Source organism: Homo sapiens, chromosome 4 (assembly GCF_000001405.40).
Source record: "Homo sapiens chromosome 4, GRCh38.p14 Primary Assembly".
NCBI classification, from domain to species: domain Eukaryota; kingdom Metazoa; phylum Chordata; class Mammalia; order Primates; family Hominidae; genus Homo; species Homo sapiens.
In genome coordinates, this window is record NC_000004.12 from 13,805,413 (window position 1) to 13,832,284 (window position 26,872).

The following is a 26,872-nucleotide window of genomic DNA, read 5'->3' on the forward strand; positions in this document are numbered from 1 at the left end:
ATCACAGCGATAGTTCTCAAACTTTACTGTGCATAGGAATCACCGAGGGAGCTCATACATTCCATGTTCCTGGGCCCTAACCTCAGGAGGTTTGATTCAGGAGGTCTTAGGTGGGCCTAGAAATCTGCATTTTTAAACAATTACTCCAGATGACTGTGATGCTGGTGGGTTCTGGGAAAAATATGAAGAACGTTTTCCTAGGAGAAAAGATAGATGGCTTGTCTTTTAAATGATCTTTCATAAATCTCTCAGGTTTTAAACAGAAGCTAAATAATCAACAATTTAACACCAACAGAAATATAGTTAACATTTCTTGGACAACCATCATGTGTCAAACACTGTGCTCATGAATTTATGTTAACTCATTTGTTGCCTTATTCAATCCTCACACCAGCCCTATATGGTGGGCTATGGTAAATACTATATATGGTAAATACATATACTATAAATATTATATATAAGGTATATACTATTATTTTACCTGTTATACAGATGAGAAAACCAAGGTTCAGAGAAGTGCTCCAGGTCACACAACTAATAAGCGGTAATGTGGAATCCTAGCTCAAATCTGCTCACCTGAGTACTGGTCTCCCAGTGGGGGCTTTCCATTTCATGGATGAAAGAAACTATGTGCTTTGATGACCCAGTGACTAGGTAGCAAAATTGACATGTGATCATTGAAACCGTGGATCTAAAGCAGGAGTCAACAAACTTTTTCTGTAAAGGGCAAGATAATAAATATTTTTGACTTCGTGGGCCATTCAGTCTCCATTGCAACTGCTCAACTCTGCCCTTGTGGTGAAAGTAGCAATAGACAATACAGAAATGGATGGACATGGCTCTGTTTCAATAAAACTTTGTTTATAGAAACAGTAGTTTCCAACCCTGGATTTGAGTTTTCTGGCTTTCAGAATAAAGAGAAGCTTGTGGCAAACACTCCATCCCTTTCCTTTACTTCCTTCTTTGCATCTATGGCTCTGGTCATTCCACAGCTACCTTCCTTCTGGGACATTACACATGAACTCCCCACTCTGTGCCTTTGCTTGAGTTCTCCCAGTTACCTTCACCAATCCATACGTCCTTCTCTCAAAGTTCAGTGCATGTCTCACTTCCTCCCCAAAGGCTTTCTCCTCCTGGCTTTCCCTTGAGCTTCCCCCTGCAAACACAGCCACATGAGAGGTATTCTAAAAGCAGATCTGATGTGGCTTTCCCTGGTTAGCACCCTTCAGTAGCTTCCCATGACTTTCAGGATAAAATCTGAGTTCCTTTACTGCAAGCCCTCACCAACTCTGCTGATGTTTGCAGATGGGGACCTAGTGCCCCAGTAATACCAAAGTGCTTTGAGCACACACTGTGTTCAGGCCGTGGGTTCATCACTTGGATAGCCCTGACTGGGGTGTCAACTTGTACCACTCATGTGGGCAAGAATGTAACTCTCCTTTCTCTATATTATTCAGGAGCCCCCCATTTCTTTATTTTTAATTATCTCAGAAATCCCTGTTTCTGCTCATGGTGAAAAAAATAACTCTTGTCATTTCATGGCAAGCCGGTCACTTCTGGATTTCAGCACAGTCGATTCAGAATGTCAGCTTGGCCCATTTAAGACTCCATTTTCTACCCTCTCCTCCAAGGTGATCTAAGCTGCCAGGGAGTGATGTTTCTCCCAGGCATTGAGGAGGGCACCTGCTGGCTTCGGGCCTTTCTGGTGGCTGACTTCTTATTGTGGAGGCAGCATCTGCTGCTGTGACCTGTGATCATGCTCTTGTTCTGCGATTTCCGGGTCTACACATGACATATCTTTCCCCTCTCTCCAGTTGGTTAGACCTGTACCTCCTTTAGGGCAGGAAAGCTATTCGGTCATTATTCATTCTTCCCTACCCTGAAGTTTATGGTATAAAGTCTATGCTCTGCATTAATCATTTTTCTTTACGTATGTAAAGGTAAGCTTTTGAAATTTTCTCAGACACAACCAGCCAACCAAATCCTCAAAAGTTTTCTCCCTAGAAAAGTGGCTTTTCAAATCTGAGAATTTGACTCTGTTCTAAATGCTGCTTTTTCCCCATGAAGCTCATGCATGTAGTAGTCTCTTGCTCCTGTCTGAGATCTTTCAAAATATTACTGCTCAGCATTTAGTAAGTCACTTCTTCCATGAGGCCCACCCTTATCTCCCCAGTTGGTGGTGGTAGGTGGTCCTCTTCTGTGCTACTGTTAAAGCCTTATGCATTATTTCTATCATTGTAACCTGTATCCTAATTGTCCATTTACTTGACATCTCCCAAGAGAGTATGGTCATCTTGAAAATGAAGGTCATGCTTTTTAATTCGTTATATTTCCAGGGCTTAATGCAGGTCCCTGCACAGTGTAGCTGGTAAAAAATACATATATATATATAAAAATATATAATATATAAAAATATATATATTATATATTTATATATTAATATATATATTATGTATATAAATATATAATATGTATATAAATATATATTATATGTATGTAAATATATATAATATATATAAATATATATTATATGTATATATATATATTATATATGTAAATATATATATATAGTTTGTTGATTGAATAACCCACACAGCCTCTCCTGCAATTCACTTCAGTGACCATCTGGTTAGTATCTACGGCATTGTTAACTAGCTTTTAAGGCTGTGTTTTATCTTTTCAGCTAATCATAAAGTCCTTGAAGTCACCGGCAATGCTATATAATGTTAGTTTATTTTTTAATTCTCCTACAATACTCTGTGCAGGACTAGGTATACAAAAATATTTGTTTAGTCGATGATTAAAATTACTCCTCTCTTTTTAAAAGAAAACAAATACGTGCAATTTACAATAACATTCTAATTGGGTTCTTCAGGTAGGTCATGTTGACTTTGCTGCATCATTTATCCTCATTGGTGTTTTAGTTATTAGATATTTGTCAACTCTCCCAGACTTATGACTGTGTTTATTTTAAGGCACTCTGTTCAGCACCTCCAGCAGTGGTTTGTGCTAAAGGGAAATTTAATAAACATTGAACGATGATCAGATATTGGCTCTTTTCCACCAAATAAGCTCTCTAATCATTCCCTGTCCTGTCCTGTGAACTTGCTTAGATTACAAAGGATGTGCTATGCATTGCACAGTATGTCCCCCTCATCTTAAATTTAGCCATGGAAATATAGCATTAAGGAATTATGCTAATTGGCTGAGGCACATTGAGCTAGTTACTTCCATTATTCGGAACTTAGTTTCCCCATTTGTAAATAAAGTAGGAAAGACAGTGTGATCTTGGGGTTCTCTCCCTGTTGTATAAAACTCTGTCCATCCAATCCAGGTACCTGGAGAAGGGAATTGAGCACAGGCACAGACAACAAGAGACAACAGGAAATGCTGCCTTACCAAGCCAGCTGCTTCATACGGAAAACAATTCAGAGTCTAAAATTGACTCAGCAGCAACACGGGGATGAAGAAAAGCTATGGGTTTGGGGGAAATAACATCTAGAGCTTACTGGATGCATTTTCCTAAAGGCCAATTGAAGTTCTTTTTCTTAGATACAGAAAGTGTTGATTTTTATGCCAAGTACTAGACACTTTCACATAAGTAACCCTTACAACAATCTGAAGATAATCTTTCTTTCTTTCTTTTCTGAGACGGAGTTTTGCTCTTGTCACCCAGGCCGGAGTGCAATGGTGCCATCTCGGCTCACTACAACCTCTGCTTCCAGGGTTCAAGTGATTCTCCTACCTCAGCCTCCCGAGTAGCTGGGATTACAGGGGCCGATACCATGCCCAGCTAATTTTGTATGTTTAGTAGAGACGGGGTTTCACCATGTTAACCAGCCTGGTCTCGAACTCCTGACTTCAGGCGATCCACCTGTCTCAGCCTCCCAAAACTGCTGGGATTACAGGTGTGAGCCACCATCCCCAGGCTGATAATTTTTATTTATCATTCTTTTTTAAGAAAAAAACAAAAAAAAATGATTCATTGAGATTAAATAATGTGCACAAAGGCAGACAGCTAGAATATGGCAGATCCAGGATTGAAACTCTGAATTCGTGCATGCTTGTTCCCCTCTGCTTTGCAATACCCAGTACTGATAATAGTCCTCTATCTTTATTTAGACAACAGTGTGATATTAGTGCATGTCATTAGAAGTGGCTGGGAGCATTGTTAAAGCTTTGGGCCACAAGAGTACTGTTCAGTGCAATGAAGCAAATATCTTTTCATACAAATAATTTATTTGTACCAAAGTTTTCCACTTGAACACCCGAAGTGAATTGGACTAATGTACTATTTTATACTAATGAGGTGGTTGGAAATTGATGTATTTAGAGCTTATGAAATTTCAGACTGGCTTTCAAACCCTTTATTTATTTCCTGGTGGACTTCAAGTAAAATGTAACCTAAATGATTCTTATTCATTTACATGTTTATGCTCATGAAATATATTTGGATGAATTATTTAATGCCCACTGCTTAAGATCCTTTTCTTAAAGGCCATTTGAAGTCCCTTTTCTTTGAAACAGAACATGTTGATTTTGATGTCAAGGGTAAATGAATTTGAACCATAGACAAGTTTGCAATTTAGGATGAAGCCTTGAACTTTGTAAGCTCCAGTTGGCATCCAACCTTGGCAAATGCATTCTTTAACCTCTAAAGTAGTTATATTAGAGAAATCCAGAGGGAAAACAGGGCTTTAATGAAAATTGTCAACAAAATAGAAAAGAAAAAAAGAAAGCATATTTTAAAATCCAGAACTGGAGAGGTCCCTAACTACAAACAACTGAGGCATAAAACTCAAGAAGGCTTCAAACAGCTTCAATCTGCTAGTGAATCTGTTCTTTGATAGCATGTAAAATCTAGGCTGAGAAGTGTGTGCTGAAGGGTTTCAGTACACTAATTCCAACTAATTCCAAGATTGGTTTTGCAAAAGAACCTGACTGGCATTCTAAAAAGAAATGGCAGGGAAGGGAAGAAGAAGAAAGAAAGAGAAGACAGAGTCAGAGACAGAGAGAGAGATGAAGAGATAGAGATACAGAGACGATGGGAGGGGGTGGAGAGAAATTGAGAGAGAGAGAGCAGGACCGAGAGCAAAAGAGAGAGAGAGAAAGAAGGGGAGGGAGAGATCTTTGTTTAGAGACCGAAGATTTAGGTTTGAATCTTAGTTCTGTTATTAACATTTATAAGATTTCACGCAGATCACTGAAAGCAATTTGAACTTCAGTTTTCTTACATATATAGTGGGAAGAAAGACATCAGACTTTACACTGTAGGATCAATTGAGATGGTGAATGTGAACAATTCTGCAGATGTAAAGATGATGCAAATGTGGACATCGTTAACCCCTCCTCCCCTACTGGTAGGTCAACACACAATCCTCACCTGTTTCCATCCCCTCTCTGAAATTTCCTGTGTTGCTCCTCTGAGGCAAATCTTTCCAAGTGTGCTCTAAATCTGATGCCTAGATCTCATCCTCTTCCACTGGTTTTCACTCTGTTGTTTACTTCTGCCTTTCTGCATTCCCTCAATTTGTCATTTATTTTTGGATTCTTCCTGGGAGTCTTCAAACATCTCTTGACTCTCTAGTTGCTCTCTAGGTACCACCCAAGTCTCTTCTTCATTTCATTTTCAGGATTCTTGTAAGATATGTCTACACAAGCTGTCTCCACTTATTTACCTCCAAAGCTCTTCACCCATTTCAGTGTGGATCCCACCACTTCCCACATCTCTATCCCTCCCCATTTTAACAGACCAAATGGATTCCATAGTGCAGAAACTGGTGTAACTTTCTAGTTTCATATAATGAAGCTGTTTTCACATTGAATATTCTTTCCTTCTTGAAATACTATCTTATTGGGGCTTCTGTGACTTCAGTCTCTCCAGGTGTTCTTGCTAGCTGCCTGGAAGCCCCTTCTGAGCCTTTTTTGATGGTTCATTTTCCTCCTCACAATCTCGGTATCTTGGAATATCTCGAGGAACAGTCCTAGGCCTTTTCTCTTCTTGGTCCACACTCTCCTCTAGCAGTCCCATTTACTTACTTGACATCAAAAACCCTTATTATACCAAAATTCCCCAGTTCAGTCTGCATCATCCAGCCTCTCCCTTGTCTTGTATCTAGGCTCAGATTTCAATAGTATCTCAGCAGCTCTACTTAAATATCTTCCAGACAACTCAAAATGAACATGTTCAAAACAGAAGTTATGTTTTTTTCCTCCACATATGCTTCTGTCTAAGGCCTCCCCAGCTCAGTAAATGACTGCTTGCTTATGTCTGAAAGCTGGGAGTTATTCCTGATACCTCCTTATCCCTTATTCCTCACACTAAATTGAATACCAAGTCCTATTAATTCATCTTCCAAAGCACCTTTGTGTTTGCTCACTTCTGTTTAGGTTCATTTATGTCACTAGTCCAAATCACCATCATTTCTCACCTGGACTATGGTGCTCCTTTCCAAGCTGTATTTTCCACTTGTAATTCTGTTGTCTTTGATTCTGTTCTTCAAACAGCAATAAGAGTGATATTCAGAAAATTCAAAGTGGTTATACCATTCCTAAGTTTTAAATCCTTCATTTGGGTTTCCAATGGCACTTTCTATAAAATCCAACATTTTTATTACAGTCTGCAAGACCCTCCATGATCTGAGCTTTGCCCCTCTTCCCCAATCTCATCTAATTCATCACTGACCCTCTTATTCATTGCCAATCATTTTTGCCAGAATGTTCTGGAGTTTAACATTTCTTTGTGTTACAAAAGCCAGACAACTATGAAGAATTCAGAGTTGTGATGCCAGAAACACAGATGTCCTTTTGTTTGTGTCAGAGCCATTTGAACCAGAGTGACTCCATCTTGAAAGGGGGCTGGGTAAAATAAGGCTGAGACCTACTGGGCTGCATTCCCAGGAGTTTAGGCATTCTCAGTTGCAGGATGAGATAGGAGGTTGGTACAAGATACAGGTCCCAAAGACCCTGCTGATAAAGCAGGATGCAGTAAAGAAGCTGGACAAGACCTGTTAAAACCAAGATGGTGATTAAAGTGACCTCTGATTATCCTCACTGCTCATTATACTTTAATTATAATGCATTAGCATGCTAAAAGACACTCCTACCAGCACCATGACAGTTTACAAATGCCATGGCAATATCCGGATGTTACCCTATAGGGGTAAAAAGGGGACTCTAAAAAGGGGAGGAAACCTCAGTTCTGGGAAATCTCCACCCCTTTCCCAGAAAACTCGTGAATAACCATATAATTTAGAAATAACCACATAATTTAGAAATAACTATATATCTATTATATATAACTATATATATTAATAACTATATATAATAACCATATGATATAATAACTATATAATAACCATATAACCATATAATTTAGAAATAACTATATATAGTTATATATAATATATAATATATAACTTTATATTAATAAATATATATAACTGTATATAACTATTATATATGTAGTTATTATATATAGTTTTATATATAATATATTATATTATATAATATTATATATTATATTATATAATATAATATATATTATATTATATTATAATATATAAAATATAATATTATATAATATAATAGATTATATATTATATTATAATATTATATATTATATATATTATAATATATTATATATAATTATATGTATAATATTATATATTATATAATATATAATATTATATATAATATATAACATATATATAACTATATATAGTTATTATATATAATATATATTCTTTCTTGTGCAAAGTCCAAGAACCCTCCCTTGGAGTCTTGAGACCGCTTTCCAGTAACACTTGTGCTTTTTGTAGACAATATTATTTTATATGGTTCCTAAGGGAATATTGGGGAGAAAGGAGACCATTTAGAAAAATATGAACAAATAAGAAGTCCAAGGGCTTCCTTTCTTTTGTGCTAGAATAATAGCGCTGAAAGGGAGCTCAGAGGTCATCTAATTCAACCTCTTCCTTTGGAAGATGAGGTGACAGTGGTTCAGGGAAGAAAAATGATTTCTTAAGATCACAGATCTTGCCAGTTTACCTGTAATGTAAGTAGTTTTTTTCTTAGGTATAATTGTGGGTAGACCAAATTTACCTTCCTTGTACTAAAATGATCTTTTGCTCTTCAAATGTTCCTCTGCACTATGATGGAAAGGAACTCTGTCATCTGTGTGTTCCTACAAATAAGTTTAAGGAAAGACACTGTAAAAATGGCTACTTAGAGTTTAATCTTTATTCTTCAAGGAGAATAATATAATCTTTCTTTCTCTTAAGAAACTTCAGGCATAAAAGAAGGCAGACATTTTTACGTTGAAGGCATCCAGAAGCTTTTACCTCTCGTATTTAAAATCTAGTCATTGAGAGTATCCACTTGCCAAGCTCTTTGTGCATGCAAAGAACGAGGCTAGCTTTTCTCTAAGCCTCAATTTCCCCATATGTGGAACAGAGATAATATTCATACTATAGTGTGTTTATGTCACAAAGTTGTGGTGAAAATAGGTAAGAAAACGTATTTAATAGCATCAAGCATTCTGTACATGCTCACTTCCTTTTTTGCCTATTTTGCTTTCTTTCATCCTTGGACAAATTATATAGCTGATTTCATCTCCTCGCTGTAACTGAGGGGGCTGAGAGATGTATATAGGTGCATATATTCACCCCCACACATATAATTATGGTGTAGAAACATACATACTCTTAAATGTTCTCCTTTGTAGCACTTATTGCAGTTGTAAACATTTATTTAAACATTTGCCTAATGCCTAACTTTCTATCTGAACTCTAAGCTTCATGTGAATAAGGACCATTCTTGCTCTGTTCGCTGTTGTATGTGAGTACCTGCAGATTGTTAAAAATTAATCTTACATCTATTTTTTGCATGTTAGTTTAAGTGCCAAACATTTTTCTAGGCCATGGGTGTCTGGCAGTTTACAGAAAACAAATCTCTGGCTATAGCGCTTTGTTCTAGTGGAGGAAACAGATGATCATACATTACTGCTTCTCCATTTACTTGCTGTGTGATTTCAGGAAAATTACACGACCTATCTGTGCCATAGTTTTCTTATCTGCAAAATAAGAGATCATCATCCATAGGTTTCTCACGTTTTTTAGCTCCTGTGAACAGCTGTTATTCTGGGCCAGCTTTTTAGGTATATATATATGTATATATATTTATTTATATATTTATAATTATATTAAATATACATATAGTTATTATATGTATGTGTATATATATATATATATAAAGTAAAAAAATTACTTAAAAAATATATTTTTTGAGACAGAGTCTCACTCTGCTGCCTAGGCTGAGTGCAGTGGTGTGATCACTGCTCACTGGCAGCCCTGACCTCACTGGTTCAAGCAATCCTCCTGCCTCAGCCACTTAAGGAGCTGAGACTGCAGGTGTACACCACCACACCCAGCAAATTTTTGTATTTTTTTGTAGAGACAGGGTTTCACCATGTTGCCTAGGCTAGTCTTGAACTCCTGGGCTCAAACAATCTGCCCTCCTCAGCCAATCAGTGTTGAGAATACAGGCATGAACCACCATGCCTGGCCTTTAAAGTATATTTGTATAGCACATAGCCTTGGAAGGTATAGCACAGGGGTGTCCAGTTTTTGGTTTCCCTGGATCATATTGGAAGAAGAAGAATTGTCTTGGGCCACACATGAAATACACTAACATTAACTATAGCTGATGAGCTAAAAAAAATTGCAAAAAATCTCGTAATATTTTAAGAAAATTTATAAAATGTGTTAGGCCACATTCAAAGCTGTCCTGGGCCACATGCAGCCCTGTGGGCTGTGGGTTGGATGAGTTTAGTATAGCGTCTCCCTCCATGGACAGGGCAGATCTATTTCCTGACCAATATAATAAAAATAATGTCTTCCTCTGAGACAAAGGTTGAGCAGGTTTGCCAGTGGCCTGGTTATAAGATTAGGGGTTTCCTAGGGTCAGATTCCTTGGCTGTGACACAAGTCCAAAGTGTGTGCAGTGTCTACACAGGCCCACCTCCATTGTCTGTGTGGAAATTGGGTGGAGCAAAGGGAACTGATATGAACATGAAGTTCATGCCGTCTGCTGTGCCATGAGTAATAACATCTTTGCTTCTGACCCGGGAGTCTCATATCTTCTGCCAGCATCTGTGTGTGGCAGCTTGACTTATTAGCTGGCAAGCAGGGGAAAATATCAGATCCTTCACAATTTTATTTATATTTATGTATTTATTTTTTAAATGTATTAAATTTATTAATGCTAAGCTTATTAAATTAATATAAATTATGGAGTACAAGTGTAATTTTGTTACCTGGGTAGATGGCATAGTGGTCAAGTCAGGGCTTTCAGCGTATCCAGCATCTGAATAACATACATGGTACCCATGAAGTAATTTCTCATCATCTACCCTCTTCCCACCCCCACACCCTTCTGAGTCTCCATTGTCTATCACTCCATACCCTATGTCCGTGTGTACACACACTTATAAGCGAGAATAGGCCTTATTTATCTTTCTGTGTCTGATTTGTTTCACTTAAGATAATGGCCTCCAGTTCCATCTATGTTGCTATAAAAGACATTATTTAACTTAAAAACTGGCTGAATATAGTATTCTATTGTGTATATAAACTACGTTTTCTTTATCTAATCATCCATTGATGACCACTTAGGTTGATGTCATATCTTTGCCTTGTCCTTCACAATTTTTGATGATAACATAGTTCCTACTTCACAGTGTTGTTGTGAGGATTAAATAAAAGAATGCCCTTGTGCTTGCTGCTACTTTGTCTGGTATCCTTGTCTCGCCTCCCAACATATACATTCTGATCCTGCATTCACATGATAGTTACTTGCTCATTCACTCACCAACTTTAGGTTTCTCCTCAGGTAGTACCTTCTTAGTGAGGTCTATCTCAACATCCCTGTTTAAAATGACAGCTTCCCCCTATTAGCCAGGGTTCAACGAGAGAAACAGAAGCAGTAGGAAACACATATTAAGAGATTTACTGCAGGAAATTGGCTTATGCAATTGTGGAAGCTGGCTAGGCATGATAAATATCCATAGGGCAGGTCCATGGGGAAGGGTGGGCTGGAACCCTCAGGTATGAGCTGACACTGCAGCCCACAGATGGAATTTCTTCCTCAGGGAAGCCTCAGCTCTACTGGTAAAACCTTTCAACTGCTTGAATCAGGCTCACCCAGACCATCTAGGATCATCTTCCTTACTTAAAGCCAACTGATTATGGACTTTAATCACATCTACAAAATACCTTCATAGTAACACCTAGGTTAATGATTGATGGAATTATAGAGGACTGAAGCCCTGACAGGTTGACCCATCAAAAGACCAGAAACCACAATACTGGCTGTTTTCTTCATCTGTTTATTTTTGTCACCACAGCTATCAGCCTCTAATTTACTATTTTAACTTATTTTTCCAGTTGTCTGTCTCCTCTACTAAAAGGTACATCCCATGAAAAGAGGGATTTTTGACTGTTCACTGTTATCTTATTTGCCTATACATTGTGTATATGGGAAATAGCCTACACCATGCTATTATTGATCAATAGCAGTAGATGGACAATAAATACATGCTAAATTATTGAATGAATGAAGACCACATGCTCAGAAAAGGGCCTGATTCATTATAATTGTACACTAAACGGTATAATAAATGTGCAAATGATACCATCCACTTTGTATTTATGCATCTCAATATTTTTTTCACACTTTCCTTCTTTGATCCTCGACACCTTTTCAAGGGTGCTAAATCCAGTAGCCTTTGCTAGATCCAGGTCCCATGGAACTCCCCTGCCTGCCCCAGTCTCTAGCCTCACTTGTGGTCCACTCAAATGCATCAAATGTTTCTGCTGGCCTGAATTTCTTTAAATCCTTAAGTTCTTTTTGCTGCACCTTCTACCTCTCTTCTCTTGTACAAGCTGTTCTCTCAGCCGTGAATGCTTTCTCCCACCTCGTATTCACCTGGCTCAGTTTTATTCTTCTTTTAATACTCAGTTGAGGTGTTGATTCCTGTTCAAGGTCCTTTCTGATCCCCAAGACGGGTGCCTCCTTTTGTGCCTCCCTGGTGTTCTGCCCTCAGTCTGTCCTAACACCTAGCCAATTCCTACGCTCCATTATATTTGGCTTTTTCACACATTCCACACTAAAATTCTTGAGGACAAGATCATGTCATTTATTTCTGTATCTCCAGAATATAGTATGACTTTGGGCACAGAGAGATGCACAATACATTTTGGACAAACGCGTAGTTGAAGGAGGGCACCCAAATGACACAGAAACAGCTACTTTGCTCAGCAAGGGCAGTGCCTCTCAACTCTCACCTTGCATTAGAATCCCGGGGGACAGTTTTAAACATATAGTGCCTGGGCCTGAACTCCCCAAATTCTGATTCAGCTGGTCTAGCATGAGGCTTGAGTGTTGGTATTTTTTTTTTAATGGAAACTCTACAAATGAGTTTGATGTGCAGCCAAGGCTAAGAAACACAACCTCTGGGATAGCTCTGAGCTAAGTTTCTATTTTATTTGCTCCCTGTCTGGCCAGAGGAACAGAGTTGCCCCTTTCCCTTTAATTTGAGAGCAGTTTTTTTCTCTGGGGAAGCTTTGTACCTGGAATCCTTGCTCAGTGCTCAAAGTTAATGGTGCACCTGTGTTTATGGCCTTGAGCAGCCTGGCCAGGGAAGAATTTGCATTTTTACTGCATTTGTATCATTTGTTGAAAAGGATGTATTATGTGATCACAGGCAGATGCTTTGAAGGTAATACAAATGATTCGGAATTTGTCATTGAAACTCACATTGTTTTTTGGGAATGAGAAGGAGGTTGTAGCTGGGTGGTGGGCTGTGGAGGTTGTTTAAGCGAGATCAGCCTGTCAGGGCACCTGAATTTCTTCCTTGTTAACTACCTTAATCTACACATGGTGGTTAAGAGCGAGTACTCTGGAGTCAAATGCCTGAGTTTGGGTCCAAGCTGAGACGTTTAACAACTTACTAGCCTTGTAATTTCTTTGTGCCTCAGTTTCCTCAACTGTCCCATAAGGCCATAGTGCTACTGCATACAATTTTGAGGATTAAATTGTATGGTGTATATAAATTACCGGGCACATAGTAGGTGTCCCAAGACAAAGTTGTTATTGCTGTCATCTCCCCCATGCCTTCCTCTTCACCCCTGGTCCCCAGCCTCAGGTGACGTCTGTACAATCACTCACCTGTACGGTTGCAATAGCTTCCTAATGGGACTTCTTGCCTCCACCTGCCTCAAATCCATCCAGCACACGACCTGCATTTCTGTCTTTTGGGCACTTTGTTTTTAACAATTTATTCACTTATTCAGTCATCTTTGATGGCTCTCTCTTGCCTGTTGCATTAGCCCCAAGTTCTCCAGTTACCTTTCCTGAGCCGTCCTGTCCTTTAGCTGCTTAAGGATATTTAGTGCTATTCATGCCCACCTGCTCCACCTTCACCACATTCCCATTGGGTGGAATGGCTTTTATTTTTTCTCTATGAGGTGCTTTAAACTTTCCAGTCTCCCTACCTTTGCTAGTCTTTTTCCATGTAATTACGTAAATCCAAACTACATAATGCTGGTCTTATCTCCTCCAATTAACTTCATCCTTTGACTTCAGCCACACTACTGTGTCTTCTATAAAGGACACATTTCTTTAGGGTTTGCTAATTTATTTTCGGAGCAATCCCCCAATTCCAGTGGCTGAACCCTTGTTCTCAACCCTGTCACAATGCAATATAGGTCTCTATCTAAGAGTGTGGATCTGCTATGATGCAGCTGTGATTAAAAGACCCACACTTCGTCCCTAGAGCGGACCTGCCATTTCCCAGGGCCTTTGGGAATCGATGGGATTCTCTGCACTGATCAGAGGCAAAAGAAGAGGAAAGATTGCTTAGGGGCTGGCCAGGCTTAAATGAGGCATATGTCACATCCCTTCACATTTCTCTGTCCAAACTCAGTGTCATGGCTCCACTTAATAAAGATGGAGGCTGGGAAATGTAGTCTGTCTTTGTGTGCCGAGGCAAAGGTAATGGAGATGGCAAACATACCATGTTCTCTCTGCCACATTCACTGCAGTACAGTTTAACAGTTGACATTTCTAGTTTCTCGAAAAATGGACTTTCAGTTTTTCTAGGTTGTACTTATTTGAGATGCTTTTTTCAAACACAGAATTCACTGGTCGTTTTTTCTTCTGAGCAATATTGGCAAGAAGTGAGACGTGATCAGCGTTTCTTTGTGTTGCTTTTCACAGTGACCTTGATTGGCATTCTCTAAGGACACAGACATACTGTTTTAAGCCATGGCTGAAAGTACATTCTGACACAAGAGAGGGTGATGAGAGAGAAGTAAAAAGACAGAGTGAATAAAGAACTTTATAATTTATCAAGGTGTGAATACCCAAATCTTTTCTGAATATTTTTCTTCAAAAAAAGTATCACAGGTGACTTGTGGATGTGGCTTTCTTTCTGGCCAGTGGGAGAACACATCAGGGGAGAGTTCTGTAGTTTGCTTTGTGCCCTTGACAGAGATATGTTAAAGTCCTTACCCCTAGTACCACGAAGGTGACATTATTTGGAAATAGGGCCTTTGCAGATGTAATCAAGTTGATATGAGGTCATAGTGGATCAGGGCAGGCTGGAATGCAATGGCTGGTGTGCTACTCAGATGAGGGAGGTTTGGACACAGACACTCAGAAGAGCACCATGAAAAAGCACAGAGGCACAGACACATAGAGAAGACAGCCATGTGATGACGAAGGCAGAGATTGGGGTGATGCTTCTAGAAGACAAAGAATGTCAAGGATTGCTGGGCAACCACCAGAGGCCAGAAAGAGGCAAGAAGGATTCTTCCCTAGAGATTTCAGAGAGAGGGCAGCCCTGCTGACACTTTGATTTTGGACTTCTGTTTTTGGATATGCTGTTTATTTTTCAGGTTATCCAAAGTTATATTGATTCTTTTTGTTGTTGTTGTAAATTTGAAGAAGGAGCATCTTTTGTGAATTCATGCAGAGATGTGGTATGGGCTAGCAGTGGCCTGGATATGAGCCTTAACATTCAGCCTGGAGTAAATATTGTGGTTTGCTTGGTAAGAAAGAAGATTTAATAAGATTCCAACTAATTTTCCTATTACTGATCCTCACTGTTCTGGTCACTGTGTCAAATTCTGACCTTATCCTTGAGGATATTCCCATCTCATGGGGTGACAGACAAGTCATGGGCTGCTAAACCATGTGTGCTCAGGGCTGGATAGCAGCAAGCACAGAGCAGTCACTGTGTGAACACAAACAGGAGCATCTCACACTCAGCACCAGCGAGGTGGGGAAGGGTTGGTCAAGGAAGGCTTCCTGGAGGAGGTGGCTGCTCTGCCGTCACTCCCAGCTTTTTCTGAAGGTAAATGTTGTGCAAATATTTAAAAAGTTGCAACCCTCAGAGTGCTCACATACTTGAGACCAGTCCTTTTGGGATGCTTGAGAAAGTGTGGAGCTTTACTGATCATGCCTTTGTATTCTGTATTTTTGATGGTTTGACAACTTGAGGCCTTGCTAACGTTGGTGGGATTGCACCTCCCTGGACTAGCTAATTCCTAGTGGTTACTAAAAACTGGTTCTGAGCATGTCTTTCATATGCAAACCAACAAATCCAGAGCCCATACCCCTAGCACCTCCTTTACAGAGATTTTATACTTCAGGCCACTATTTCCCTTATCGCCTTAGGGCCAGGTACCAGTAAGATAGGGGCACCCTCCATGCCCTAGAACCTGCTAAAATTATGCACACTAGCCAGTCCTAATGCTTACCCTGTCTCACCCATTTCTCTGGAAACCACAACAAAGGCTCTTGCCCCCAGTTCCCCTTCTCCCCTCTGCCCAGGGGTCAGACCCTGCTGCTTCCCTGCATGGCCTTGCATAGAGTGGCATGAGAACTGTGAGAGGACTTCTTCCTTCATGACAGTCATTTCTCTGCCTGTGTGTCTTACCATACCTGATTAAAACAGTCCCGGGTACCCATTGAAAAAAGACCTGATTAAAGGGTTTAGGGAACTGTTTGGATTTCAGAAAGGATGGAGCCTGAAGGGAGAGAGGGATGTGGTGAGTAAGAAGGCTGCAGAAATGAGCAGCGCTCACATCCTGGGGAATATGGCAGGGATGAAAGAAGACAGCCAGAGACAACCCAGCACCGGGCAGCTCCACTGACAGAAGCCTTGGCTGGGGAACCAGAAACCTATGCTGTTCATCAGCCCTCTGTCGAGTCGTGACCACCGTAAGTTATCTGAATTTCCCTACAGGAGGCAGCAAAGGCCCTTGTGCATCCCTCTTGTGGCAGTAATAAAGGTGGTTGGAGGCTGAGAGCCAGAGTCCCTGTCCTAAGCAGGTTTTCAGGGAGATAACTGGGAGAGAGTGTGGAGTCCAACAGTACAGTTTTGGGAAAGAAAACAGGCCAAGTCCCTGGAGAATAACAGAAAGCCAGTTTGGGCCTCAAAAGTAGCTCTGGCAGCCTTATCAGTCAAAAGGCTTCTCGGAGAAAGCATTTCCAGGGCCCTACCTGTGCTGCCACAGTGGCAACCTGCCCTCCCGTGGGCTCAGCCCTTCCAAGCTCTGATGAAAGGACTGGCCTGGAACACCTTTAATCAATTCCCCTTTATCTCTTCCTGAGGGAGGATAATCCTCTGTTTTGCAGTCTCTTTCCATCCAGCATGTAGCATCTATTGATTTTTATAGCTGTTTTTGCCAGTCAGTATGGGTGCTGAAGGAGAAAGACCTGCAGGTCTGAAGTTCTGAACTTGAGGAAGGAGTTCAGACTCTTGAAAGTAACCACTCTTTTTCTTCTTCTTCTTCTTTTTTTTTTTTTAAAGTGCCAGATCCTATGGGATATAGTACACAGGTCCTCTTTGAGGAATGCACAGTTATTCTGGTTTAATCGTTTTATTCCTTTCACATCATCACCAAAACAAAACTCTCTTCCTGATTATTTGTTCATGAGAATACATAGTGGCACAATGTTACATCCAATACCATCTTACTTATGTGTTCTTAGGCACAGACATTACAGCAACAAAAGGTCAAATCATAGCATCTCAGATTTGGAATAATCATTAGGTAGGTACTTGTGGCTCATAAAACACTTTCTCCTTTGTTATGTAGTACAATTCTTACATGGAATCAGTGTTTTATGGATTAGGAATTTGAGCCATAGAGAGAAGGTCATTTATTCTATCAGAAAATATCCACTGAGCATCCTCTTTGGGACCAGTATTATTCTAGGTGCTGGGGATCTGGTGTAACCAGAAGACAGGAACTCCCTGCCTTCCTGGAACGTATTCATAAGTAAGGCATTCTGGAAACTGACTTGTACTCAAGTTTCCTGTGATAAGTGCAACAAGAATGATTTCTGAGGCTGTTTAGAGTGAAGCTTTGCCACTCCATAGCTGTGTAATCTTGGTCAAATTACTGAACTCACTTGAATCTCTGTTTAAGATACAGAAAATGACTGTACCTGACTCAAGGGGTTGCTGAGAAGTTAAGGGATTATGGAGGTCAAATACCTGGCCCACAGCAAGGACTCGATAAAGGACAATTGTTATCACTGCGCATGAACAGCTGTAAAGGCTTGGAATTAGAAGTCATTTCTTCCCACTGGATGACAGGAGCAGAGAAACCTTCTCAGAGGAGGTTACCTTGACTTGGGCATTACAGGACAGGCCTCTATTCTTGGGAAATGATCTTTTTCTATCTGTTAGAAAAATACTTGATTGAGACCCATTTAACAAGTCTTTTGTGTAAAGACATTACTTTCCCATTAGAAAAGTTTTATTCTGGAACTTGTGAGTTCATGTCAACATATTGAAAGTGAGAGTCATAAAAAGGCAGCTGAGTGACAGGATGCAGAAATGCAACCAATATGAAATTCAGTTCAGTTCTTTTACAAACCTTCCCCTACAGTAACAAAGAGTGGGCTCTGTAGTCAGGCAGAAAGACTGCATTGGACCCTGGTTCCTCCATGTATTAGATGTGTGCCTCAAATAAGTGCAGTAAACCCTGTGGGTCTCAGTCCTTCATCTATGAGTTAGGAAGAACATTTCCTACATCTTGGGGATAATGCTTATAAAGCACTTAACATGATGCCTGGCTAATGAAGGACAGCTGAAAACATAAAATTAATGCACCCAAGACTGGTTTCTTCTTGCATAATTGCTTTGGTTAGTGGCACATTGTGGGGAGAAAGAGCCCTGTGTCCAGTCCTGGGCTTGTCCCTAACTCAGCAATGGCCATAGGCCAGTCGATTGCCCATTCTTTCTTTCCATTTTCTCCTCTGTAAAATGAATATTGGCACCAAACCTGGGTGCTTAGACCTTTTCTGTAGCCCAGAGGAGGTCCTAGAAGCTGCTCCAGGTGTTTTCATTGTTCCAAAAAGCCTTCTGGATACCTTATGGGTAGGCTAAATAAAAGTACACAGGCTAGGAAAAATGATTTTTGTTGTATCATTCCTTTGTTTAAAATTCTCCAAGGCTCTCCATTTTTCTTGGGGGTAAAGGCCAGTGTCTTTCCAACACCATACATGGTCTTGCACCATCTTTTTTTTTCCTCAGCCCCACTACCTTTGTGGATCATCTGAGACTGTCCTAGGATTTTGCCCAGTCTGCACTAAGTGACTGTTTCTCAGATACTCTGGGCATGCTTTGGTTTTCCAGCCTTTGCTTAGAATGCTTACCTTAGAATGATATTGTATGAATGACTCTTACCTCCTTTAACTAGCACCCCATGAATCCTATTGATATGGTTTGGCTCTGTGTCCCCACCCAAATCTTATCTTGAATTGTACTCCCATAATTCCCATGTGTTGTGGGAGGGACCCAGTTGGAGATAATTTGAATCATGGGGATAGTTCCCCCATACTGTTCTCATGGTAGTGAATAAGTCTTATGAGATCTGATGGTTTTAACAGGGGTTTCTGCTTTTGCATCTTCCTGATTTTCTCCTGCCACCACCATGTAAAAAGTGCCTTTTGCCTCCCATCATGATTCTGAGTCCTCCCCAGTCATGTGGAACTACAAGTCCAATTAAACCTCTTTTTTCTTCCCAGTCTCATGTGCGTCTTTATCAGCAACATGAAAACAGACTAATATAGTAAATTGGTACCAGGAGTGGGGGTGTTGCAGAAAAGATACCTGAAAATGTGGAAGCAACTTTGGAACTGGGTAACAGGCAGAGGTTGGGACAGTTTGGAGGGCTCAGAAGAACACAGGAAAATGTGGAAAAGTTTGTAACTTTCTAGAGACTTGTTGAATGGCTTTGACCAAAAGCCTGATAGCAATATGGAAAATAAGGTCCAGGCTGAGGTGGTCTCAGATGGAGATGAGGCACTTGTTGGTAACTGGAGCAAAGGTGACTCTTGCTATGTTTTAGCAAATAGACTGGCAGCATTTTGCCCCTGATGTAGAGATTTGTGGAAATTTGAACTTGAGAGAGATGATTTAGAGTATCTGGTGGAAGAAATTTCTAAACAGCAAGGCATTCAAGAGGTGACTTGGGTGCTGTTAAAAGCATTCAACTTTTTAAGGGAAGCAGAGCATAAAAGTTTAGAAAATTTGCAGCCTGAAAATATGATAGAAAAGAAAAACCGATTTTCTGAGAAGAAATTCAAGCCAGCTGCAGAAATTTGCATAAGTAATGAGGAGCCAAATGTTAATCCCCTAGACAATGGGAAAAATGTCTCCAGGGCATGTCAGAGGTCTTCATGGCAGCCCTTCCCATGACAGGCCAGGACATCTATGAGAAAATGGTTTCATGGGCCTGGCCCAGGGTCCCCATGCTGTGTGCACCTAGGGACTTGGTGCCCTATGTCCCACCCACTCCAGCTATGGCTGAAAGGGGTCAACATGGAGCTCGGGCCGTGGTTTCAAAGGGTGCAAGCCCCAAGGTTTGAGAGCTTCCACATGGTGTTCAATCTGCAAGTCCACAGAAGTCAAGAAGCAGGGTTTAGGAACCTCCTCCTAGATTTCAGAAGATGTATGAACATGCCCGGATGCTCAGGCAGAAGTTTGCTGCAGGGGTAGGGTCCTAATGGAGAACCTCTGCTAGGGCAGTGCAGATGGGAAATGTGGGGTCAGAGCCCCCACACAGAGTCCCTACTGGGGCACTACCTAGGAGAGCTGTGAGAAGAGGGCCACCATCTTCCAGACCCCAGAATGGTAGATCCACTGACAGCTTGTACTGTTTGCCTGGAAAAGCCACAGACACTCATGCCAGCCTATGAAAGCAGCTGGAAGGGAGACTGTATCCTGCAAAGCCCCGGGGGCAGAGCTGCCCAAGACCATGGGAACCCACCTCTTGCATCAGCATGACCTGGATGTAAGACCTGGAGTCAAAGGAGATCATTTTGGAGCTTTAAAATTTGTCTGCCCCACTGGACTTTGGACTCAAATGGGCCCTGTAACCACTTGGTTTTGGCCAGTTTCTTCCATTTGGAATGGCTGTATTTATACAAATCCTTTATCTCCATTGTATCTAGGAAGTAACTAGCTTGCTTTTGATTTTACAGGCTCATAGGTGGAAGGGACTTGCCTTGTCTCAGATGAGACTTTGGACTATGAACTTTTGGATTAATGCTGAAATGAGTTAAGACTTTGAGGGACTGTTGGGAAGGCATAATTGGTTTTGAAATGTGAGGACATGAGATTTGGAGGGGCCAGGGGCAGAATTATATGGTTTGGCTCTGTGTTGCCACCAAAATCTCATCTTGATTTGTACTCCCTTAATTCCCATGTGTTGTGGGAGGGACCCAGTGGGAGAGAATTTGAAGCATGGGGGTGGTTTCCCCCATACTGTTCTCATGGTAGTGAATAAGTCTCATGAGATCTGATGGTTTTATCAGGGGTTTCCGCTTTTGTATCTTCCTCATTTTCTCTTGCCACCACCATGTAAGAAGTGGCTTTCACCTCCTGCTATGATTCTGAGGCCTCCCCAGCCATGTGGAACTGTAAGTCCAATTAAACCTCTTTTTCTTCCCAGTCTCGGGTACATCTTTATCAGCAGTGTGAAAATGGACTAATACACCTATGCTCAGTACTCTTAAATTACAGCCTCCCTTCCCCACATTCATCACCACTATCCCCTGACATCTCATGACTCCCTCTCTTACCTTGCATTGCATTTTCCAGTAGCACTAATCATGACATGATATACAATGTAATTTGCTTTTTCTTGGTAAATTTTGTTTTGACTTTATGTTTAAACTAGAATTAATGCTACACGAGGACCTAGAATTTTGTTCACTGTTGTATCCCAAGTATGGCAAACAATGCCTGGGTCATAGCAGGTATTTACTGTATTCATGATTATTGAGTGAACGGAGACACTTTGGCTGGAAGTCTATTAACTCAGTAAAAGCACATGGGTTATTTCTTGAAAGAAATTCCTATTGGAAATTCTAAATACAAAAATGGGGAAACAAAGTATTTCTTAATAAATATAGTTTGCTTAACATGAACACAAAAGATTGCTAGACACAATCTTTCAAAGGAATATAGGTGAATATTAGTGAAGTCATAGACTCTTGATGGTGAATGTTGTAAACGAAAATATCTTCTAAGAGTCCACTAGATAACTAAAATTTCTTTCCCTTTTTTTTTTTTTTTTTTTTTTTTTTGAGACTGAGTCTCGCTCTGTCACCCAGACTGAAAGGCTGAAGTGCAGTGGCATGATCTCAGCTCACTGCAACCTCTGCCTCCTGGGTTCAAGCAATTCTCCTGCCCCATCCTCCTGAATAGCTGGGATTACAGGCATGCACCACGATGGCCATCTAATTTTTGTATTTTTAGTAGAGACAGAGTTTCACCATGCTGGCCAGGCTGGTCTCGAACTCCTGACCTCAGGTGATCTGCCCACCTCGGCCTCTCAAAGTGCTGGGATTACAGGTGTGAGCCACCATGTCTGGCCTGAAATTTCTTAAAAGTGTGTGAATGTGAGTTGTGGGGACTGTCAAGGGGAAGTCAGAATTGTGCTTTCTGAGCAGAGACCATCATATTGAACCCAGTGTCATAGTAGGTACTCAGTAAATCTTTATGGATCTGTTTTGAAATGAGTTTAGATAAAAATACTGTCTCATTTTTTTAAGCAAGACTGGGAACTTAAGGAGAAATATTTTTATTATTTTATTAAGTGAAATAAACCAAGGAGACACAATATTTTATGCCCTGATTATCTCTCTTCATCAACTTGCCCTTTGTTACCATGGGGAAACTAGAGGCAATAATTAAAGAATTAAACCTCCTTTATTCACTTATGCAGTGCACACTATCACATGCCATTTGATGTTTATTTTCCCGATGAAGGGAGTTTAACTTATTTATTTTTCTTCTCTTGGGGCCTAGTTGTCTGACCCACGGAAGCCTCCAGGTTTGGCTGGAAATGGCCTCCATTTTCACTCTCCTATGGACTCACTCACCTATGGGCAGGTAAAGAAATGTGCCGGGTGATTTAATGAAATCAAATCTTCATCCACCTTGGCTAGCAATAGATGGAGAAGCTCCCCATGGTTAGCAGGGAGTTCTTTCTTATCCCTGAGACACACTTTCTCTTTGCATCCAACAAAGCTGGTTCCAGAGACTGCAGATCTTATTTTCACACAAGTGTCCAAGGTGAACCTAAATCCACTCCTTTATTCCCCATGGTACAACCAAGGCATGAAAGAATGATTAACAGGGCTCCCAGATAACAGAAGCGAATTAACTCTAGAGGGTACCACTTGACATTTTATTGTATGGGATACCTGCTACCTAACAGTAGTCTCAATTTTCCTACAACCTATCTCCCTACCCTGCCCTAAGTCTAAAAGCTATCTTGAGTCAAGGGCCAGTTTTCTGCCACCTTCTTTTTCAATATGTTCAGATGCATTAAAATCTTAACTAAAGAGAGTGGGCTCAGAGAATGATGACCATTCCTTGGTCCTGCCCATCTAATCCTTGCCTTACAAGGCTGGGTTTTCTATAACAGAACCTGCCTCTTCCTTGATGTCTAAAACTGGGAAAAGTCAGACCCTTTAGAATGGACAAAGTTTTTCTTCTCCCAAGGATGTAAACTTAGTTTACAGCTCTGACTAGCAAGCCCTCCTGAGCAGAGTGTGACACACTCCCACCCTCATACGATACCTCTCTGTGCCTCAATTTCTCATAAGCAAAATGAAGATATACTGGTACCTCTTCGGTTTTAAGTACTAAATATAAATGACTTTTAAAAAGTACCAAGCACATAGTAAATGCCATTTAAATTCTAACTGCCATTGTATCTTTAGGCTCAAACACAAGTAACCCTAATATAAGCTGGGGCTTTATATGAGGCAGTATTTTGGGGGAGTTATATTCAAAGCAGCACAGACTGACAACCCAAACATAGCTTAAGATAACTCAGATTTTTACTCTTGATCTTGAGAAGCATCCAGGAAGAGGAAATTTGTTATAATCACAAGAAGAGAACCTATGATTGCCAAATGTGTTCTGGGTCTGATCATGGGGTATTGGATACATGGCAGCAAGTCCAGGGCTGAACTGAAGGTGTGTGTACTGGTAGAGAACATAGAAAGCAGGTGCAGTGACAGAATGGACAATACATCTTGTAGTAAAGTGAAAACAGTAGTAATAGCTAACATTCATTCAATGATCACTAAGTTCTAGGCACTGCACTAAGATATTTATATACACTGATCTCATTTAATATTCACAACATTACAATGAGGTAGGCATTATTAATACCTCTATACTTCTACTGTGCCTGTTTTATAAGTAAGGAAGCTGAAGATCAGAGAGGTTAACTTACTAAACTGAGGCCACACAGCTTCTAAGTGGCATGGCTGGAAACTTCCAAAAAAAATATATCTGTCTGATTCAAGAACCCAATCATCCTATTAAGAGTCAGGCATTGTAAAATGAATTAGATGCCAAACTCAAAGAGCTGAAGCTGACAGGTGGTTAGAAATGGGAAGTATTAGTCCAAGTGGAGCACTATAGTTTAAATATGTTTCCCAAATTTCTTGTGTTGGAAACTCAATTCCCAAATCCGTATGTCAGTTGGAGATGGGGTCTTTGCAAGGTAATTAGGATTAGATAAAGTTGTCAGGGTGGAGCCTCCACTATGAGAACAACAGCTTCATAAGAGAGGGAGAGAGACCTGAGCTGGCATGTGTGCTCTTGCCCTCTCGCCATGTGATACCCTCTGCCATGTTATGACACAGCAAGAAGGCTCTCACCAGATGCCAGCATCATGCTCTTGGAACTCCCAGCCTCCAGAACTGTGAGATGAATAAAATTCCTTTCTTTATAAGTTACCTAATCTGTGATATTCTGTTACAGCAACAGAAAATGGGCTAAGACATGGAGCAAGGGGCAGAACGACTCTTGAAGATGCTGAGCAACTTCTGGTATGTTTGCTTATTTTATACACACTTTGCCATTCTCTTGGGATATGAATTTTTATGCTTAAAGCAACAATACTACATGCAATGCTGGGGAAAATATCTTGTAAGTTATGGTGCATGTCTTGTTTGTTTCATCCTTCATTCTACAATGAATACAGAATGTGCTACCACTGAATCATGTACTGTGACTACAGATTTAAAGAAACTCTGTTACCAAGGACCTGAGTCCAGGGGAGGAAAACAACATTTATTATACAATGAAATGAGAGATAAAACATAGTTCACGATGAGAAGGAAGCCTTGGTCTGCCTCTGGGAGTGAGGTAGGCTTCCTGGAGGAGGTAACCCTTGAGGACAGCTCTGGAAAAAGGAGCAGGAATTTGTCAAGTGCATAAGGGATGTGGAGGAAGGCATTCCAGGCACAGAAAATTGCCCTTCCTGTCTGAATTCCACATCGTTCTTGCCTGTGTTAAAATGCTCAGGTATTTGCTAAACATGCTTCTTACCAGAGGCAATGCTGCTTTTTTAAAGGACATAATTAATTAGGTCTCAGGATATTGGTAATCAGGAAGAGTGTAGCATTGATGATATTTTCCTCAGACTTCCAGCACGCATGCTAGCTACGTGCCCCTCCCTCACTGGCTTCAGCCTGTGCCCAGAGGCAGTTTGACCCTCACATTTTCCTGTCTTGCTTTTGGCCTTGAGAATCCAGGTGTCAGTAGGTGCCTTTGCCTCTGTTTGATGGAGCTGTGTTTTGCCTCCTTTCCAGTTGGTGCCCTCCTTGGCTCTGGCAGGTGTCCAAGCCCTGTTGTTCTCCCTGCACGGGGCGGCTAAGCAATGCTTTGTAAATTATGCACCAGTCCCACAATGTTTGGGGAGCCTGTGGAACCCTTTTGTCTACATGGAGGTAAATTATTTAGCAAAGGCAATTTAAATGATTCAGAGGGGATGGCGTGAAGTCTGGCTGTGGAACAGCTTGTCTGTGGAAATGTAACTGACCCTGGCGTGCGGAGGACTCAGCTCCAAAGCAGAGCCGAGCACATTTTACCTGCTCCCTAGATCCTGTAGGTTCCATGCCCTGCCTGTCTCCAGACACTGTCCCACGTTAATAATCATTATAATTTAAAAGTCTATGATCTCATTTGGTGCTTGTTTCGCGTCTGCAGCAGGGAGGTTTATAATAGTGTGGTCTGGGGAAGCAAGCTGGGTCTGGACAGGTTTTGTTATGAGTCCTGCTTTTCTAACCTGCGAGACCTCAGTTTCCTCTTCTGTAAATTAGGGATAATAAAAGCAACTTTTAATTGTTAACATCTCCATTTGACTATCTAATCTAAGGAATCTGGCCAAGACAAGCTCCTTAATATTCTGCCCCATGCTGTCCACAAACCTGCCCTAGGAATAGTGTCTCCATCTCAGTAAATGAGAACTTTTTACTCAGTTACTCAGGACCCAGCCCTGCACATCATATTTGATTCGCTTCTCTCCTGCAGCCTCCACAGTGAATCTCTTCACTGGTCCTGTCTGCCCTACTCCCAAACACATAGCCCGTGGGATCCTTCTCACCAGGTCTTCTGCAGCTCTCCAGCTGAAGCCTCTGTCAGTTCAGCTGTGCTGTTGAAAAGCCCCTTACTCATTCTCCTGCAGCTGCCTTTACTTCTCCAACCCTGTCTCATCCCCACCAAGCAATCAAGACCTTCTTTAAAAAATAAACAATAATAAATAAATTGGACGATATTCTTCCCTTCTTAACCCTCTGATGGCTGCTACTTACTCTTAAAATAGAATCCATGGCCTCTTTTAAAAAAAAATCACCTATGGGCCTTACATGACTGGGCTCCAGCACACCTCTCTCCACTTAACATTAACCCCACTGGCCTTGGGATTCTAGAACATCCCAAACATGTTCCCACATGAGGGCCTTTGCTCTCGTTGGCCCCTGAGGCTGGACTGGTCCTCCCCTGGCTTGGCTAGTTCCATTTCAATGTCCAGGCATCTGGGGAAATGTTACATCCTCACGGGACTTCCCTGACAATCTTGAAGAGTCACCTTCCTGTCACACTGTAGTGGTTTTATTTCCTTCATGCCACTTATCCCTACATTCAGTTCTGATATTGAGCTTCATGGTTTGTGCACCATCCCCTCCACTGGAAGACAGCTCCTTGCAGGATGGGCTTTTTTCAGTGTTATTCACCATGGTAGCCCCAGGTAGGGTCATTAGATAAAATACAGGACAACCAGTTAAACTTGAATTTCAGATAAACAACAATTATCTTTTTAATAAAAAAATATTGCACAGGGCATACTTATGCTAAAAAAAAAAAGATTTGTTGTCCCTGTATTTTTACTTACTAAATATGGCAACCCTAGTCCCTTCAGAACTGTCATCTCTGTTGAGGCTTTATAAATACTTGTTGAAAGAAAGAAAGAAATAGTGAGTGAGC

General features: G+C 40.8%; 2 long non-coding RNA genes across 6 annotated transcripts in view; one reads left to right on the plus strand and one right to left on the minus strand.

Moving 5' to 3' along the window:
• LINC01182 (long intergenic non-protein coding RNA 1182) overlaps window positions 1-26,872 on the plus strand; it is a 276,050-nt gene that overhangs the window by 150,234 nt on the left and 98,944 nt on the right. The window contains exon 3 of the long non-coding RNA NR_121681.1: window positions 24,368-24,435. This is a non-coding gene — a long non-coding RNA (long intergenic non-protein coding RNA 1182). The remainder of the gene's footprint in view (window positions 1-24,367; window positions 24,436-26,872) is intronic.
• LOC101929048 (uncharacterized) overlaps window positions 1-26,872 on the minus strand; it is a 74,973-nt gene that overhangs the window by 39,480 nt on the left and 8,621 nt on the right. The gene's annotated exons all lie outside the window — the stretch shown is intronic.